This window comes from Homo sapiens, chromosome 4, assembly GCF_000001405.40.
Source record: "Homo sapiens chromosome 4, GRCh38.p14 Primary Assembly".
In the NCBI taxonomy this organism is placed as follows: domain Eukaryota; kingdom Metazoa; phylum Chordata; class Mammalia; order Primates; family Hominidae; genus Homo; species Homo sapiens.
The window spans coordinates 120,646,506-120,665,029 of record NC_000004.12 but is presented as its reverse complement, the minus strand read 5'-3'; the positions used below and the strand labels follow the sequence as shown (position 1 = coordinate 120,665,029).

The following is an 18,524-nucleotide window of genomic DNA, read 5'->3' as shown; positions in this document are numbered from 1 at the left end:
CTGGATACACGTTAGCAACAGTAAACATTGATATAGGGCTGCAAAGCATGGCATCTTTATTTTTTTTTTTAAATAAACCTTCCATTTTCCAAAAAGGATTTAGGTGGATTAGAAAGGATTTTATTTGTGAACATGTTTGATGGGGGTTAGTTAAGAGTATTAAATGACCGGAAACCTCAAAAAGCCTGGGATAGACAATTATTTTCCATGTATAATCTGCTGGATAATGCAGGGTTATTTTCTTGCTTCAAAAATAAATAAATAAAACAGGTTTCATTCTGCTCAGAGGCTTCATATTAACTTTTCACTCCCACTAATGTTTTTACATTATTTGGTCAATCATTTATCAATTTCTACTGGAGTTAAAGCAATCTGAACACTTCTGATTCTAGTGGGTACAGGACTCAATGTGTAAATTGATTAGCTAGCAGAAGGTCTTTGTATTTTATACATTACTGAAGAAAATAGAACTTAATAAGCTCTCTCTTTTGAATACTTCAAAGCTACCTTTTTGCTAAATCATTGTTTTTGCCATTCATTTATGTATCATTATTTCCATCATCTTCAGTGTTTCCCTCCAATCCATTGTGAGACATTTTTCCTAGCTTTGACAGGATATAAGTGGAACTTGTTGGTGAACATTGGACAAAACAGATGGGAAACAAAGAAGTTTGTGACATAAGACATGCAGAAATTTGGATGTCTCCAATTAATCATGGTTCACAGCTGACAAAAAAAAAGTGACAATAATTGATGTCATTCTTTGAGAAACAATCTGGAACTTTAGCACCCTGGGAAATCTTGTTCATTTTTGCTCAGCTACTACTGAATTAATGCATGCTATAAATTGCTTCTCAGAGGGGTGCTTCATAAAGGGTTTCTGGGACAAATCATGTACCATGAAACATTCCAGAAACCATTCATTTTCTGGTTTCTCACCATGCAGTGTTGTGTCACCTAATGTAACAAGTGCAGTCCCCCTAGATACAAGATGAGAGTGCTAATTTATCTGCAGTGCATTTTGTCAATGTAGATGGGCTCCATAACTCAACTAGATTCCTAGGAGGTTTATTTTTTAGCTTGAGATGTCCGAACTAGTTGTCTGATTTGGTGAAATGCAATGATGTATGCATGCCCTTCACTGGCTCTGCGGCTGCAGGACACGCAGCTCCCACTATTTCACATGTAACCTTAGCCTTCATTGTCCTCCCTCTCAAAAGATGATATAACCACTGTCCAGCCATTTCTCTTCTTATAAAAGGTGTGATCCTACACATATGTGGCACAATTCCAAGTTCTACACCTGATTAAAGAAGCTCTCTGAGTAATACAACACAACATGTATTTTCAGAAACAAGCACAAAGTTAAGAAACAGGATTCACCCACTGGGATTCCAAGAAGAAAATATAATTTATATCAATAGTTCATTTTGAACTGTGAAAGAGAATGAGACTTGTTAATTTTCAGTACAGTGATTGGCACTAATCCCCTTACTCAGGTGATGAGAAGGTCATGTGTCACATTAAGTTGAGGTGAGAGTTCCAGAGTTCCAAAGCATGCAGAGATTGGCTGTGGCATCCTCACTCAGTTGGTTTGAGCATATTGCCAGGCATTGTAGGTAAGCTGATAGATGAATTATTATCTAGTTTGGATTACCATACCTCATAAAATAAACACATGCATTACACCATTGGTGGGAGTGTAAATTAGTTCAACCATTGTGGAAAACAGTTTGGCAATTCCTCAAAGACCTAGAGACAGAAATATCATTTGACCCAGCAATCCCATTATTGGGTATATACCCAAAGGAATGTAAATCATTCTGTTATAAAGACACAAGCATGTGTATGTTCACTGCAGCACTATTCACAATAGCAAAGATGTAGAAACAACCTAAATGTCCATCAATGATAGGCTGGATAAAAAAATGTGGTACATATACACCATAGAATACTATGTAGCCATTAAAAAGAACGAGATCATGTCCTTTTCAGGGACCTGGATGGAGCTGGAGGCCATCATCCTTAGCAAACTAACACAGGAACAGAAAACCAAATAGTGCATGTTCTCACTTATAAGTTGTAGCTAAATGATGAGAACACATGGACACATAGAGGGGAACAATGCACACTGGGGCAGGGGATGGGAGGAGGAGGAAAAATACCTAATAGGTACTAGGCATAATACCTGACTAATGAAATAGTTTGTACAACAAACCCCCTTGACCCATATTTACCTATGTAACAAACCAGCTCATCCTGTACATGTTCCCCCAAACTTAAAATAAAAATTAAAAAATAAAAATCAACCTCTACAGGGAAATCATGATTAACAATAATACCAGAAATGCAACCAAAAGCAACCAACAAAGGAAAGAACAATGCTGAATTTATTCCTACTGCCATCTCTTTGTCAATGACATTGCAAGATAACAATAATCAAATCTTTTGAGAAAATGGCCACAGCAGTTTGAAATGATCAAGAAGACAACTTGAAAGCAGGATTTATACGCAGCATTATTAACTATAGTTAGTAAATTAGAACCTTAATATTGTACTTCAAATTTAACTCCTTTTTTCAAAATTCAGTTTTATATGTTTTATAGTATATGTAACATTAATATAGTAGGGTATATATGTATCTAGTGAGTGCATGAATATTTATTGAGGATACATGTTCAAAAATGTAAGAGATTCAGGATGCACTCAAATACAGACTTTTTCATATCTGAAATACATAAAATATAGTCAAGTAGAAAGCATTGGTAAGATTCTAAGTATACACATTGTAAGCTACGTGAATAGCTCTACAATCTGAATTGTATTTTTTAGTAACAATTTAGACCTAATTTTAATAAATTATGAGATTTTTCTTTTTTTTTCAATCTTAGAAACCTAGGATGCCATGTGAGAATTACAGTCATATTGAACAAAGGCAATCAGGTAGAGGATCTTAACATTAACTTAATAACTTGTCGAAGATTAAAGACTCCATTTTCCATGCAGAAGTGTCATACTGTCTTCAAATCAAAATTGAACCAAAAACTACAATCACAGAGTATTGAAACCAAGGCTGTGTTAATTTGAATTTGGGTGGAATAAGGTACATTGCAGAGTGGTGCACATTGGGCCCAACTATCGCCTTAACACTAGGAAATGGCAATACTATCACCTGCAAATATGATATAAAATGAAGGTGAGGAATGGCTGTACCCTCTATCTCCTGAGCACTTTCTTTTTTTTTTTTTTGAGACGGAGTCTCACTCTGTCGCCCAGCCTGGAGTGCAGTGGCGGGATCTCGGCTCACTGCAAGCTCCGCCTCCCGGGTTCACGCCATTCTCCTGCCTCAGCCTCCCAAGTAGCTGGGACTACAGGCACCCGCCACTACGCCCGGCTAATTTTTTGTATTTTTAGTAGAGACGGGGTTTCACCGTTTTAGCCGGGATGGTCTCGATCTCCTGACCTCGTGATCCGCCCGCCTCGGCCTCCCAAAGTGCTGGGATTACAGGCGTAAGCCACCGCGCCTGGCCCTCCTGAGCACTTTCTATGTGCTAAATCTCATTTTACTTCCACATCAGACAATGAAGCAACCATTATTATGCCCGTTATACAGGTGAGAAAACTGAGGTTGAAAGAGTTAGGTAGATTTCACAAGTCACCAAGCTGAAAAATGTCAGTTCTGATACTGGAATCTGTATTAGAAATTTGATTCCAATGGAAGCAGAATCAGGTGTAAAATTTGGAGAAACAAATATATTGAAGATAGAACTTGAGTATTTTGGAAATTACTCTTTGGTGATATTATACAGAGGGATTCAGGTGTTGTATAGAGATTGAAAATAGGTATCTTTCACTGTCCTTACTCTAAAATACCACGATTGTGTTTATTATTACTACCACTCATAACACTATACGAAATTGTTTTTTAAGACAAGCAGTAAAAGCCTAAGACTTAAAATTATAACAGGATTTGCTAACGCACAATTTGAAGGGGCATTTATGTGCTCTGTAATTTTACAAAAAGTTCAATTGTTTTATTTTCTTTGAAGTCCAAGGGCTAGTTATTGTTACGATAATTGGTAATAATTGCACGTATAAAGATAAAATTTTAAAGGAAATAAATGTAGTTCTCAGTTACGTTTTTATAAGTAGGTTATGCAGAAGTAGGCACTTTTTTTCAAGTGATGAAGATTCAACTGTCACATTACAAATTATTAAACAATATTTTTGCACACATATTTGTACATAAGAGTATAGATATATTATTATACATAAACACATAGATTGACAGGTAGATTAAGAAACAGCACACACACACACATTCAGACATGTAACATATACATACACCGTTATAAAATGATAAGGGCTGAAAACTACCTGTCAAAAACTTTGACAGGTCTGAGATTTTACCCTACTTGCAAGGTACCAAGTTAGCCTGCGAGTTTCATAAATGTGAGTAGAAGACCTGAGACTCCTGTGTCCAAGACAAAAGTTTATTACTCACAGCAATAACAATAGCCAGAATATCATCATTTTTGTACTAATGCCTGAGCCCCAAGGCATACGGGACATAGTGAAGAAGCCAGGTGGCACCTATGCAAGAACTAGGTTGTTTTATTAAAGAGGAATTCTGACCCTAGAGAACCCAAATCTTTTATAATGGGCAGTAAGGCTGCCTGCCTTAGCTCTGCAGGGAGACATTATTTTTATTATACTGGATAGTAATCAAACCTGCCCATTACTCTGGAGGGAGACATTATTTCTTTCTTTCCACACTGTTTGCTAAACCAACATTCTTGAAATGATACTCCAGAACAAAGGGAGTCAGTGCCTCTGTAAGATGTGCAGAAACGCAAAAGCTTTGTCTTCCGACACCACCAAATACATTGATTGTCAGCATTTAGCTTGAAAAGGGGCACATGGCACAGTGCTTGTGAAAATCATCTGGCCTTTGATCCCCTAATGGCCAAACAAAACATGAAGACATGTCTGATGTATGGACTTTTCCACATCACATTTCCTGGAAAGCATGTGTTTCCTATTTAGGAGTCACCCTGACACATTTGGCTCTGGAGAGCATTGAGACTGGACTTGTATCTACGTTACTCGCTCCCTAGGCACTGTTCTGCCAACCTGACTTCTGGGCCCCTGCAGAAGGCTGAGTAATGGAGCATTAAATACCGACAATCTGGCTATGAGGAGGGCTTAATCTGTTTAAGCCCCACAGAGATCTGGGCAAGCATCAAAATAAGCACGCCAAATGCGACTTTAGTTGACTCTTAGGCAGGAAAAGCCTAAAACCCCAGTGAGAGCACATGAGGATCAGGACTATTTGTCTTATAAGCAGCGTATTAAGATATCTTCCTCTAAGGCAGCAATATGGAAGAATTCAATGCCAGACTTCCCATCAGGCTGCCATGTATTCAACTCAGGGCACCAGCAAACAGGAGAACTAAATGGAAATAGAGTGTTAAAAGCCCACCTTCAATGAATTTATCCAGGACTTTATAAACAGAGATCTACAATAGAGGTATTTTTAATTTCAGCTTACATGGTAATTTTGTGATGTTTTAAAAAGCACTATTTTATTTTGAATTACATATTTGGGTGGAGGCATAATTATTTTTTCAATTCTTATGGCCTCTGTGGAGTCCAGTGGAAAGAGCATAAATTCTGACTGTCCAGGGTTTGAATACTGATTGTAGGCCAGTTACCTATCCTTTCTGAACCTCAGTCTTCCCATCTGTTGGTACAGATAATTATTTATATCATGCAGGACTGTTGTAAGGATTTAAAGAGAAAACACATTTATATACTCAGTGTAGAGTACAGCACATAGAAAACATTTACTATAGCCTTGTGGGGTGGCTCAACACCCGAAGTCTGTCTTTTGTTTGAATTTGGGCCACTAATTCTGTGGCACTCTAGGATTTTATGTCATGGGCCGTGCCAGATAAATACTCAAAAGTGGCCACTTCAGACTACGCTCAGAGGAAACAATAGTTGATAAAAACCACCAGACTCACTTCCTCTCCTGAAACTGTAAACTTCTGTTCTGGTGCCGTGTTTATGTTGTAATCTTCTGTGCACGGAGTTGCGGGGAGGAGAAGTCATTTAAGAAGAGCCATAGCAGCCCCGTAGGTAGGAGATGCACATAGAGAGAAATGTACTGATGAGCCCAGATCTGTGAGGGATCTCTTGGTGTCAGATGGACCCCATCAGCAGCAAATATGTGTGCATGTGTCTGATGAGCAAAAGTGCTTTAATGTGGATATAATTACCATATGCTCCATGGATGAAATAATGTTTCTAGCCCACATTATCTGCCCACATTTACAGTACACACAGTGTTAGGTAATGCAATTTATCTCAACAGCACAGGCCCTTTTTTTTGCAAGCCCAGAGCCTGTTCTGGCTCTTCACTGGGTGAATAGAGTTTGTAGACACTTCTTACATGGTCCCATATAGCCTTCAACTTAAATTTAAAAATGGCTTTGTTTGCATAATTACTATTCTTTGCATTATATTTTAAATCCCCATGTGCGAAAAAAAATGTGTTTAAATGCAACTTACTGGACATGTTTTCTAAAGATGCGTTAATAAGACAAATGTGATTTAAATGTGTCAGTGAAGGCTTAGTTGGAACATGATTCTGACTGACATAAGTATAATGCCCTACATTTGTTGTGTGGCATGAAAATGTATTCTATACTTTTATTCTGAATATTTTGACATTTGATTCATTTTTGCCATATTATGAATGTAAAATATTTGAAGAAATGACTGATAAATATCATGATCATACAATATTGATATTTCTTCAATTTTATAATATTGATTTTCTTCAATAGTCATCTGTAAAGATATATTCAAAATGTTTATTGTCAAATTATTAGCCCATTCTTCCCCTAAAACTGATATAGCTGAATCAAAATAAGAAATGTTTTTTTCTATTTTCTTAATTCTATAGCCATACGTGTTACAATGCCTTGCACTAAGTCTATGTTCAAAAGATGAACTAATGAATGATCACCCAGAATAATGGTTGATGTTCTACTACTATCTACTCTATCGACTGTACTATGCTACATATAACACATCATGGTATGGGATATTTCTCTGTAACTTCTTGCAGTTTTTGTTGATGGTAGTATAACTGAATCTTCTTGATACCCCTGCATTCTGCCTCATCTTCTTCTTTTCCTCCTGTTTCCTTATTTACTTATTTTTTGTTCATTCTCCCTTCACTCCCCAGCATCACTCCCTCTCTCTCACTTTCTTCTTTCTCCCTCTTTCTCTGTCTTCATTCCTCATTTCTGCCCTCTTTCATCTCTCCTCTTTACTTTTTCATGACTTCTTTCAGGGCAAATGAACATAGTTGATGAGGGTCAAAGAACTCATATTTTTTTACTGATAGAAACTACAAATTTTGATCATCTGTGGTTTTATACTATCCATGTGTCTATTAATTCCCATTATCCTAAGTATTAAAAAGTTGCCTCAACAAAATATGGACTTAAATCTTGCTTAGGACAAATAAAGAAAACAGGTTGAAAAGTTAAGCATTTGAATTTTTGTGTGACAGTAGAGAATCTGATAAATAATAAAACTCATTGATATGAAACCAGATATGAACCTCTACAAGGCCTAAAGTCATGAAGGAATATCCTTGGGCCTAAATTTTACAATTTAACGTGATTGTTGAACACTATCTATGTTTACCCTATTGAAGACAGAACTTGACAAACCATTTCCTGAACATGGAAACAGACTTGCTTAGGTAATAATATTAATGTAATTTTATCTTTATTGAGTAAAAGCATAAACATTATCACTAGTCTCTTCCCCATATTCCTGAGCTCCATGAGGTAGAATATTCAGCAGTACTAATACCAAGTTAGAACCATCTATAAAGAATGGCAAGTTGTCCCCTTTCTTCACTCTGTTGCCCAGGCTGGAGTGCAGTGGCAGGATCTCAGCTCACTGCAACCTCCGCCTCCCGGGTTCAAGTGATTCTCCTGCCTTAGCCTCCTGAGTAGCTGAGATTACAGGTGCGTGCCAACACGCCCAGCTAATTTTTGTATTTTTAGTAAATACGGGGTTTCACCATGTTGGTCAGGCTGGTCTCAAACTCCTGACCTCTGGTGATCCTCCCACCTCGGCCTCCCAAAGTGCTGGGATTACAGGCATCAGCCACTGTGCCCGACCTCACATTTTCTTTCATAAACAACTTAACGTAGTTCATTTGGTGACAATATTCTGATTCTGGTATAGATTGTTCTTACATAGTTATGAGTGTCCTTAAGGCAAGAGACCTTCAAATCAGTAAATACTTCTAAAAACATTTTTGTAGCTGGAGAGGTTAGAAAAGTGACACTGGCAGCAAGATGGTGGACTGAAATTTCAGGCGTGCATTCCCCCACAGAGACACAGAGATAACAACACTATATGGACCAGACTACCTTTCTGAGAACTCCAGTGACCAATTGAGAAGCTACCACACCCAGGCCAACACAGCGCCAATAAGGGAGTCCAGAGAAAGGGGCACTGCCACTTCTATCTTGATGTCTTGGGCTAAGGGAAACTCAGCCACTATATTGTCAGGACACTCAAGCAGACCTGTGGAGGGGTTTAGGTGGAAAGGAACTGAGACCCTCTACCAATAGACATGTGACTGGGACATCTTGAAAGGACATCCTCCAACCCAGTTAAGCCTTCAAGTGACTTCAGCCCTGACTGATATCTGATTGCAAACTCAGGAGAGTTCTTAAGCCAGAACCATACAGCCAAGTTGCTCTCGAATTTCTGACCCACAGAAACCATGAGAGATAATACAATTATTTATCCAAGCTACTAAATTATAGGGTAATTTGTTATACAGCATGAGATAACAGTTGTGGCTCCACCCTTATTATCTAATCACCTCCCAGATACTCCACCTTCAAATGCCATCACATTGGGTATTCAATTTCAATGTCTGAATTCAGGAGGGGAACAAACATTCAGCCAATAGCACCGTATAATCAGCACAGGCAATGTGCTTAATATAAAAACATTAAGAAAAAAAGAGATTTTCTGTGTTTTGTGATTCACTCATTGATTTAACAAAATATGTTAAGTGAAAGTGTACATAAATACCACAATAAAAGTTAAGATGAATATTTTATAATGCTTTATAAAATAAATATATAGCTTAGTAAAACTTTTATATTTCCTTACAAATTGCCTCCACATATTTATTTTCACTAATTCTCATCACATTTAAAAAAGAATTGTATTAATTGCTTAATCTGATTATGGTCTAACAGTTGTTCAAAACCAATTCATTTTATTTTGTGTTTGTATTTATGCGAACAAAAGTCTTAGGATAGTGGGTTTAAGATACACATTCAGCAAATAGGATCTTACTTCCAATTTGAAGAGTAAAGTTTCCTTACTTCCTTTTTTTTCTTTCTTTTTTCTTTTTTTTGACTTCTTAGAATCTTCTAGTTTTGATTGCTCCTGAACACCACTATAAATCATCATTAATGTCATCTTCCCTAACAAGTGTTTGTTCTGATTTTGCCACAAAAGACTTTGCAAAAAACACAAATGGTTTTAGTTGTTCAAAGTATGTGTCCTCTTTAACCATGAGCTCTAACTACTTTCTTGAATTAATAATATTGTTATTACTGACAGAATATTTCTTAAAATGATATCTTAAATATTTCTTAAAATGATATTAATGTTCCTAATTTATCTTTACTTTTGAGTGATGTGGAGTAATTTAACTGAAAATTGGAATTTTTATGCAGAATGACAATAAGATACTCAAATATATCTGTATTTGCCATAGAGCAACATGAAAGTTAAAATACCAACTGCTTAGTGAATCATTGTTCTCAAAAAGATTCATGATGGCTATGTAGTCTTTAAGAGAATACTTTAAAATATGGGTTACAAATAGCTTTTTATAATTTGTAAAACATAAAATAGTAATCAAGTAACAGCTGAATACTAAAATATACCACATAGAAAAATAAAGAAAATTAAATGAAGCAATGTCTCATATACTTAGCGTTTTTGGGAAAACCATACAAGTTAATTTTTCAGGGTGAGTATGTGTATGTTTTGAAGTAATAAAATTAAAAATGTAACTCTTTTGGTTTGTTTTTCTTTATCTCTTAAACATTATATGCTAAAATCATTGTCAGATTTTTATTATATTCTTATATAAAATAATTCTATCTCCTCCCAAGGTCAATCCTCTGTTGACAGTGTGACTACTTAAGGTAACTATAGACTTGTGATCACTACTTCCAATTTGCTATGGTGTGAGAAATTAAATTTCCAGTGTCAATGGAATTAAGTATAAACTATGAAATCAATATGTTTTGATTATGGTCTGAAGGCTCATGTGAGGGGGCTGGAGCATAAGGTAGAATTTGGTTATGATACCATTGGATATATTAAAATATATAAATCATTTGGTTTATATTCATTGAGTATACAATTTTAGCACCCTGAACTTCTATCTTCCCTTCTACTGACTCAGAGATATCTCCTGACGTGCCTTCTCTTTTTTCTTGGTACTTTTCTGAGCTTTCTAAATCTGAGTTTTAGACAACCAGTTGTGTATGAATGTATTTATGTGTATGTGTCACACATGCATACATAATGTGGTGAGCAGTTGAATGTGTTTATGTATGTGCATACATAGTGATTGTTGAGAATGGTAGTTTGTAATCCATTAAAATATTTAAATTTACCATTTTAATCCAACTTCTCCCATCAAGCTCTTGAAATATTTTATTATTTGTCAGAAAAGTCATCATATGGCACTAACCTATGCATTCTAAGATTTAATGAATTGTTTTGGAGGAAGTTGAAATCCAGTGTTCTGAATCTTAAATATTATAGAAGCTTTAAACAATTTGTCTTAGTTGGAGAAGGCTGGGCATATTTAAGGATATTATGTACCCTGTATTACTTCTTAAGAAACAGACTTTCTGAATAATAGCTATAACACTTGACTCTGTTATATATCACGGTAAGACTAAGTAATTGAAGATGAAGGAACCTGACCCTGGAAATAACAGAGACAAATTAGACAGAACACATTGATTTCTGATGTAACAGACAGCCACCTGATGGAACTGTTTTTACTTATAGAAAGTGAAGCCACAGTACTTCATTTTACAGAGGTACTTTTTAATGGCCCAACTATTAAATGAATAAATTTTTTAAATTAAAAGCAAATGTTACTAATCATTTGAAGTCCTGATATCCCAGTGTGCAGAGTTGCTTCTAAAACGCATAACATATCCAGCCTTCTGATCAATGTATGTTGAGTCTGCACATTTAGGAAAAAAAAGAATGCAAAGTGGCAGAACTAAGAGTATCCGCTAACCTCAGAAGAGTAGACAGATTATTAAGTACCTGACATATTTTCTTATCTTTCTCATAAATGTAGTTGTAAAACATCAGTACATTCTTTTAAGTGACAATTTCCTGTATTTAAGATAGGTGGTCTGATTTTTCAAGAGAAGCCAGAAATCCAGATTTTATAAATATTCTTATATTTTAAAATAGTCATCATAAATTTAACAGTTTTGCAGCATTTCTTGGGCCAAACAAAGTACATCTATGAGTTGGATATGGCCTGTGACCTGTTGGTTTATTACTCTTATTTTAAGGACTTCAAGCCAAAATGAATAACTAAGGCATAAGCACTCTCCTTGTAGTCACCTAAGCTTCCATATAATAATAAGAGGCTACTTTAAATGTTTTTGAAATTATATCCAGAGACATCAGGGGACACAGCCTAGTGCTTTATAGCTCAGACTGTGCAGTAATTTAGTCCAGGATGTGATACAGGCTTTGCCAATGAGCTGTGTGAACCAGTGCAGGTCTCTTAGAAAGTTCAGACTTCTTAAGGGATTTCTCGGAGGAATAAATAAGATAATATATGAAGTATCAGCACCTGGCACACCATAAATGCTCAAAATGTATTGTGATTTTAGTTATTGAAATAATTACAAACAAAAATGGCTAATATGTTAAAAGTCTTGCAGAAGAAAACATTCTAACTTAACAAGTTAGACCTTTTATTTTTAATTAATGTGTCAATATTGAGAACAAGCTATTTTCTATTCTCTTTCTTCTCACTTGTAGTTTGTTTTCTGATGCATAGACTGGGGCTAGTTTAGAAACTGTTGTAAACTTTTAGATATAAAGTTCCAGCTGACATGATACTTGACATGATGTAAGCTGATGGAGTAGTGTGATTCAGGATGCTTAAATGGTATAATGAGTTAAGTGAGAAAATGACTAACATGTTGCCATCAGGCATCTCAAGCAGCAAGAGCAATGTGTAAATATGTTTAACTGTGAACGGACAATCAAGGAACGAAAAACAGATCTACTCTTCTGTTCCACTGTTGAAAGTTACAGAACATTATTTCTCATCTCAAACTAAATTCCATGCACATCGAATGGTATTTTGAAAATAATGGAATGTTCTTCCATTTGTTTGTATCCTCTTTTATTTCATTGAGCAGTGGTTTGTAGTTCTCCTTGAAGAGGTCCTTCACATCCCTTGTAAGTTGGATTCCTAGGTATTTTATTCTCTTTGAAGCAATTGTGAATGGGAGTTCACTCATGATTTGGCTCTCTGTTTGTCTGTTGTTGGTGTATAAGAATGCTTGTGATTTTTGTACATTGATTTTGTATCCTGAGACTTTGCTGAAGTTGCTTATCAGCTTAAGGAGATTTTGGGCTGAGACGATGGGGTTTTCTAGATATACAATCATCTCATCTGCAAACAGGGACAATTTGACTTCCTCTTTTCCTAATTGAATATCCTTTATTTCCTTCTCCTGCCTGATTGCCCTGGCCAGAACTTCCAACACTATGTTGAATAGGAGTGGTGAGAGAGGGCATCCCTGTCTTGTGCCAGTTTTCAAAGGGAATGCTTCCAGTTTTTGCCCATTCAGTATGATATTGGCTGTGGGTTTGTCGTAGATAGGTCTTATTATTTTGAGATTCGTCCTATCAATACGTAATTTATTGAGAGTTTTTAGCATGAAGCGTTGTTGAATTTTGTCAAAGGCCTTTTCTGCATCTATTGAGATAATCGTGTGGTTTTTGTCTTGGGTTCTGTTTATATGCTGGATTACATTTATCGATTTGCATATGTTGAACCAGCCTTGCATCCCAGGGATGAAGCCCACTTGATCATGGTGGATAAGCTTTTTGATGTGCTGCTGGATTCGGTTTGCCAGTATTTTATTGAGGATTTTTGCATCAGTGTTAATCAAGGATATTGGTCTAAAATTCTCTTTTTTGGTTGTGTCTCTGCCAGGCTTTGGTATCAGGATGATGCTGGCCTCATAAAACGAGTTAGGGAGAATTCCCTCTTTTTCTATTGATTGGAATAGTTTCAGAAGGAATGGTACCAGCTCCTCCTTGTACCTCTGGTAGAAGTCGGCTGTGAATCCATCTGGTCCTGGACTTTTTTTGGTTGGTAAGCTATTGATTATTGCCACAATTTCAGGTAAGCTATTGATTATTGCCACAATTTCAGAGCCTGTTATTGATCTGTTCAGAGATTCAGCTTCTTCCTTGTTTAGTCTTGGGAGGGTGTATGTGTCGAGGAATTTATCCATTTCTTCTAGGTTTTCTAGTTTATTTGTGTAGAGGTGTTTGTAGTATTCTCTGATGGTAGTTTGTATTTCTGTGGGATCGGTGGTGATATCCCCTTTATCATTTTGTATTGCGTCTATTTGATTCTTCTCTCTTTTCTTCTTTATTAGTCTTGCTAGCGGTCTATCGATTTTGTTGATATTTTCAAAAAACCAGCTCCTGGATTCATTAATTTTTGAAGGGTTTTTTGTGTCTCTGTTTCCTTCAGTTCTGCTCTGATTTTCGTTATTTCCTGCCTTCTGCTAGCTTTTGAATGTGTTTGCTCTTGCTTTTCTAGTTCTTTTAATTGTGATGTTAGGGTGTCAATTTTGGATCTTTCCTGCTTTCTCTTGTGGGCATTTAGTGCTATAAATTTCCCTCTACACACTGCTTTGAATGTGTCCCAGTGATTCTGATAAGTTGTGTCTTTGTTCTCATTGGTTTCAAAGAACATCTTTATTTCTGCCTTCATTTTGTTATGTACCCAGTAGTCATTCAGGAGCAGGTTGTTCAGTTTCCATGCAGTTGAGCAGTTTTGAGTGAGTTTCTTAATCCTGAGTTCTAGTTTGATTGCACTGTGGTCTGAGAGACAGTTTGTTATAATTTCTGTTCTTTTACATTTGCTGAGGAGTGCTTTACTTCCAACTACGTGGTCAATTTTGGAGTAGGTGTGGTGTGGTGCTGAAAAAAATGTATATTCTGTTGATTTGGGGTGGAGAGTTCTGTGGATGTCTATTAGGTCCACTTGCTGCAGAGCTGAGTTCAATTCCTGGGTATCCTTGTTAACTTTCTGTCTCATTGATCTGTCTAATGTTGACAGCTTGGCTTTTTGTAGATACAAGTGTTCTCCAATTTGATCTGCTGAAAATACAACAACAAAATTCAAGATAATGAAAAATCGGAATGGCTATGTTAAATACTTCATGTCATTTTTAGAAGGTAAAAAAAAATCACTTGACTAATTGACTGGTAGGGACAAGGAAGCTGAACTAAGATGAGATAACACTATGCGATCCAGATAGTAATGCTGGGCACTAACAATCAATGGATGGAAAATTACCCTGAAAATATTTGCCGCTTTCTTTCAATCTGCCTGGCTGAGAAATGTAGGTTGAATCTGCCCTACTTTGTTTAATTTTTTCTTTTTGGGCTTCAAATTTTGAAAAACACATTTTCTCCTTTATACGAGGGGGAAGTTTTTAAAAGTGCTAACCTTTGTCAGGTTTATACAGTAGAAAATAAGTGTAGTAATAGTAATGATTCTACATTCATTTTATAACTTGATATACTTGGAAAAATACTTCTTTTTCTCTCTGTAGAAAAGCTTCTTTATCTTTATATTTAACCTCTCAATTCTCAATGTTTTTTAATTTTTTTCCGTAGCCCTGCAAACCCTGGCACCAATTGTGACCGTCATCTTGCTTAAGTCAGTTAGTTGCTGCCTCTGAACTTGCATTTCTTCATATGAATATATTAGTGAATTGAACTAAGCATGGTTAGCTCTAGGATTCTCCTTTATTTTTGAAAAGTCATAAAAATCAAGACCAGTATCTTTAAAGTGGCCAGTTAACAGTTTCAGATTACAAAGTTGGCAGCACTTTGTAATCATTATGTAAAGCACCATTTGAATGGTGCTGTATAAGTGAACCAAGTTCACTAGATAATAGTCCCGGATTATTCTATGAATTTCACTTTGCATCAAAACAAGGAGAGAGTACACATTCGTATAGCAAAACTCCCACTGCTAAACTAAAGCCTAAAATGAGGAAACATTATATTTGGACCCTGAAGAAAATTAAAAGATATAACCACAATCCTAGATAGCACACACTTTTTTAGGGAGATGTCATTTCCATTTCTAATGATTTTTTAAATCATTTTATACCCACCATAATATTTAATATTTATAATGTTATACATTGCTACATTAATGTAGCATCAATTTTATGAAATCTTTTTATATTACTGAAGAATCTATAGCTGAATTATGAATGTCTGAAATAATTTCAGAATTTCAGGCTTTTTTTTTTAGCACACAAGAGATTATTTATCATTATGTATATGTGTAAGTACATTACAATCATATTATTAGTACTGATTGAATTCAAGGCATTGAGGACATTTCTTAAGGTCTGGTTAGACCAGCATGATCCACTTTAAATGGGAGTGGGAAACCCAGAATTGAGCTGGATCAGGTGCAGAAAACAGATATAAGCTTTCTGCCTTGGCTCGTTGCTGTGACTTCAGTAGTCCCCCTACAACCAACTGAAGGAGGAGGGAAAAACCCAAGCTTAGTTGACAGCTGGATATATGGAGGCAAGTGAAAAATACAGTGCTACTGCTTTATATCCCTAGTCAAGAAAAGACTGGGGTAAGAGAGGTCCCCTAAATGATAGTGCTTTGGGCAGTGTGGCTGATAAACCACTTTGTTTTGTCAGAGAAGTGGCTAGATATATACATATATACCAACTCATACACAGTTCCAAAGTGGTTTAGCTGGTTTGTTTGGTCAAAGGCCTGGAAGAGGCAACATTGGAATAGTAGAGATAAGGAGGTCTGAGGGAGAGGCATGTGGACCCATGGATCTATGGAAGTGTGACACAAAGTGTAATGATGTTTATTTTGTATATTTGTGTCCACTGCAGAAGAGCTACTAATAATCAATGAGACAGGATTATTCTGTCACCAGATGTCAGCCAACACTGAGAGAGGTGGTGCTTGCACACTTATGCTTGCACAGAGGACTTATGAACGAGTAGTCAGGGTGAAAGAGACAGAACTTATCAATAGGCCCAACAGCCTGGGGCTCCCTTTCATCATGGTTGATCTAGCTACTGCTGCTGCTGAGCATAAAACCTGCCAACAGCAGAAACCAACATTGCGGGGAGGAGCCAAGATGGCCGAATAGGAACAGCTCCGGTCTACAGCTCCCAGCGTGAGCGACGCAGAAGACGGTGATTTCTGCATTTCCATCTGAGGTACCGGGTTCATCTCACTAGGGAGTGCCAGACAGTGGGCGCAGGTCAGTGGGTGCACGCACCGTGCGCGAGCTGAAGCAGGGCGAGGCATTGCCTCACTTGGGAAGCGCAAGGGGTCAGGGAGTTCCCTTTCCGAGTGAAAGAAAGGGGTGACAGACGGCACCTGGAAAATCGGGTCACTCCCACCCGAATACTGCGCTTTTCCGATGGGCTTAAAAAACGGCGCACGACGAGATTACATCCCACACCTGGCTCGGAGGGTCCTACGCCCACGGAGTCTCGCTGATTGCTAGCACAGCAGTCTGAGATCAAACTGCAAGGCAGCAGCGACTGGGGGAGGGGCGCCCGACATTGCCCAGGCTTGCTTAGGTAAACAAAGCAGCCGGGAAGCTCCAACAGGGTGGAGCCCACCACAGCTCAAGGAGGCCTGCCTGCCTCTGTAGGCTCCACCTCTGGGGGCAGGGCATAGACAAACAAAAAGACAGCAGTAACCTCTGCAGACTTAAATGTCCCTGTCTGACAGCTTTGAAGAGAGCAGTGGTTCTCCCAGCACGCAGCTGGAGATCTGAGAATGGGCAGACTGCCTCCTCAAGTGGGTCCCTGACCCCTGACCCCCGAGCAGCCTAACTGGGAGGCACCCCCCCAGCAGGGGCACACTGATACCTCACATGGCAGGGTATTCCAACAGACCTGCAGCTGAGGGTCCTGTCTGTTAGAAGGAAAACTAACAAACAGAAAGGACATCCACACCAAAAACCCATCTGTACATCACCATCATCAAAGACCAAAAGTAGATAAAACCACAAAGATGGGGAAAAAACAGAACAGAAAAACTGGAAACTCTAAAAAGCAGAGCGCCTCTCCTCCTCCAAAGGAACGCAGTTCCTCACCAGCAACGGAACAAAGCTGGATGGAGAATGACTTTGACGAGCTGAGAGAAGAAGGCTTCAGACGATCAAATTACTCTGAGCTACAGGAGGACATTCAAACCAAAGGCAAAGAAGTGGAAAACTTTGAAAAAAAATTTAGAAGAATGTATAACTAGAATAACCAATACAGAGAAGTGCTTAAAGGAGCTGATGGAGCTGAAAACCAAGGCTTGAGAACTACGTGAAGAATGCAGAAGCCTCAGGAGCCGATGTGATCAACTGGAAGAAAGAGTATCAGCGATGGAAGATGAAATGAATGAAATGAAGCGAGAAGGAAAGTTTAGAGAAAAAAGAATAAAAAGAAATGAGCAAAGCCTCCAAGAAATATGGGACTATGTGAAAAGACCAAATCTACGTCTGATTGGTGTACCTGAAAGTGATGGGGAGAATGGAACCAAGTTGGAAAACACGCTGCAGGATATTATCCAGGAGAACTTCCCCAATCTAGCAAGGCAGGCCGATGTTCAGATTCAGGAAATACAGAGAATGCCACAAAGATACTCCTCGAGAAGAGCAACTCCAAGACACATAATTGTCAGATTCACCAAAGTTGAAATGAAGGCAAAAATGTTAAGGGCAGCCAGAGAGAAAGGTTGGGTTACCCTCAAAGGGAAGCCCATCAGACTAACAGCGGATCTCTTGGCAGAAACCCTACAAGCCAGAAGAGAGTGGGGGCCAATATTCAACATTCTTAAAGAAAAGAATTTTCAACCCAGAATTTCATATCCAGCCAAACTAAGCTTCATAAGCAAAGGAGAAATAAAATACTTTACAGACAAGCAAATGCTGAGAGATTTTGTCACCACCAGGCCTGCCCTAAAAGAGCTCCTGAAGGAAGCACTAAACATGGAAAGGAACAACCGGTACCAGCTGCTGCAAAATCATGCCAAAATGTAAAGACCATCAAGACTAGGAAGAAACTGCATCAACTAATGAGCAAAATAACCAGCTAACA

General features: G+C 37.6%; 3 annotated features.

The window, feature by feature from the left end:
• Nucleotides 12,347-12,516: an enhancer, noted in NCBI's record as "experimental_72419 CRE fragment used in MPRA reporter constructs". NCBI's record gives its function as "activates a minimal promoter by MPRAs in K562 erythroleukemia cells, with activity observed for both the introgressed and non-introgressed 4:121573754 variant alleles {active_cell/tissue: K562}" and the evidence as "EXISTENCE:reporter gene assay evidence [ECO:0000049][PMID:34662402]".
• Nucleotides 14,479-14,648: an enhancer, noted in NCBI's record as "experimental_72414 CRE fragment used in MPRA reporter constructs". NCBI's record gives its function as "activates a minimal promoter by MPRAs in K562 erythroleukemia cells, with activity observed for both the introgressed and non-introgressed 4:121571622 variant alleles {active_cell/tissue: K562}" and the evidence as "EXISTENCE:reporter gene assay evidence [ECO:0000049][PMID:34662402]".
• Nucleotides 16,322-16,616: an enhancer, noted in NCBI's record as "tiled region #8715; HepG2 Activating non-DNase unmatched - State 24:Quies, and K562 Activating non-DNase unmatched - State 24:Quies". NCBI's record gives its function as "activates a minimal TATA promoter and a strong SV40 promoter by Sharpr-MPRA in HepG2 and K562 cells {active_cell/tissue: HepG2 | K562}" and the evidence as "EXISTENCE:reporter gene assay evidence [ECO:0000049][PMID:27701403]".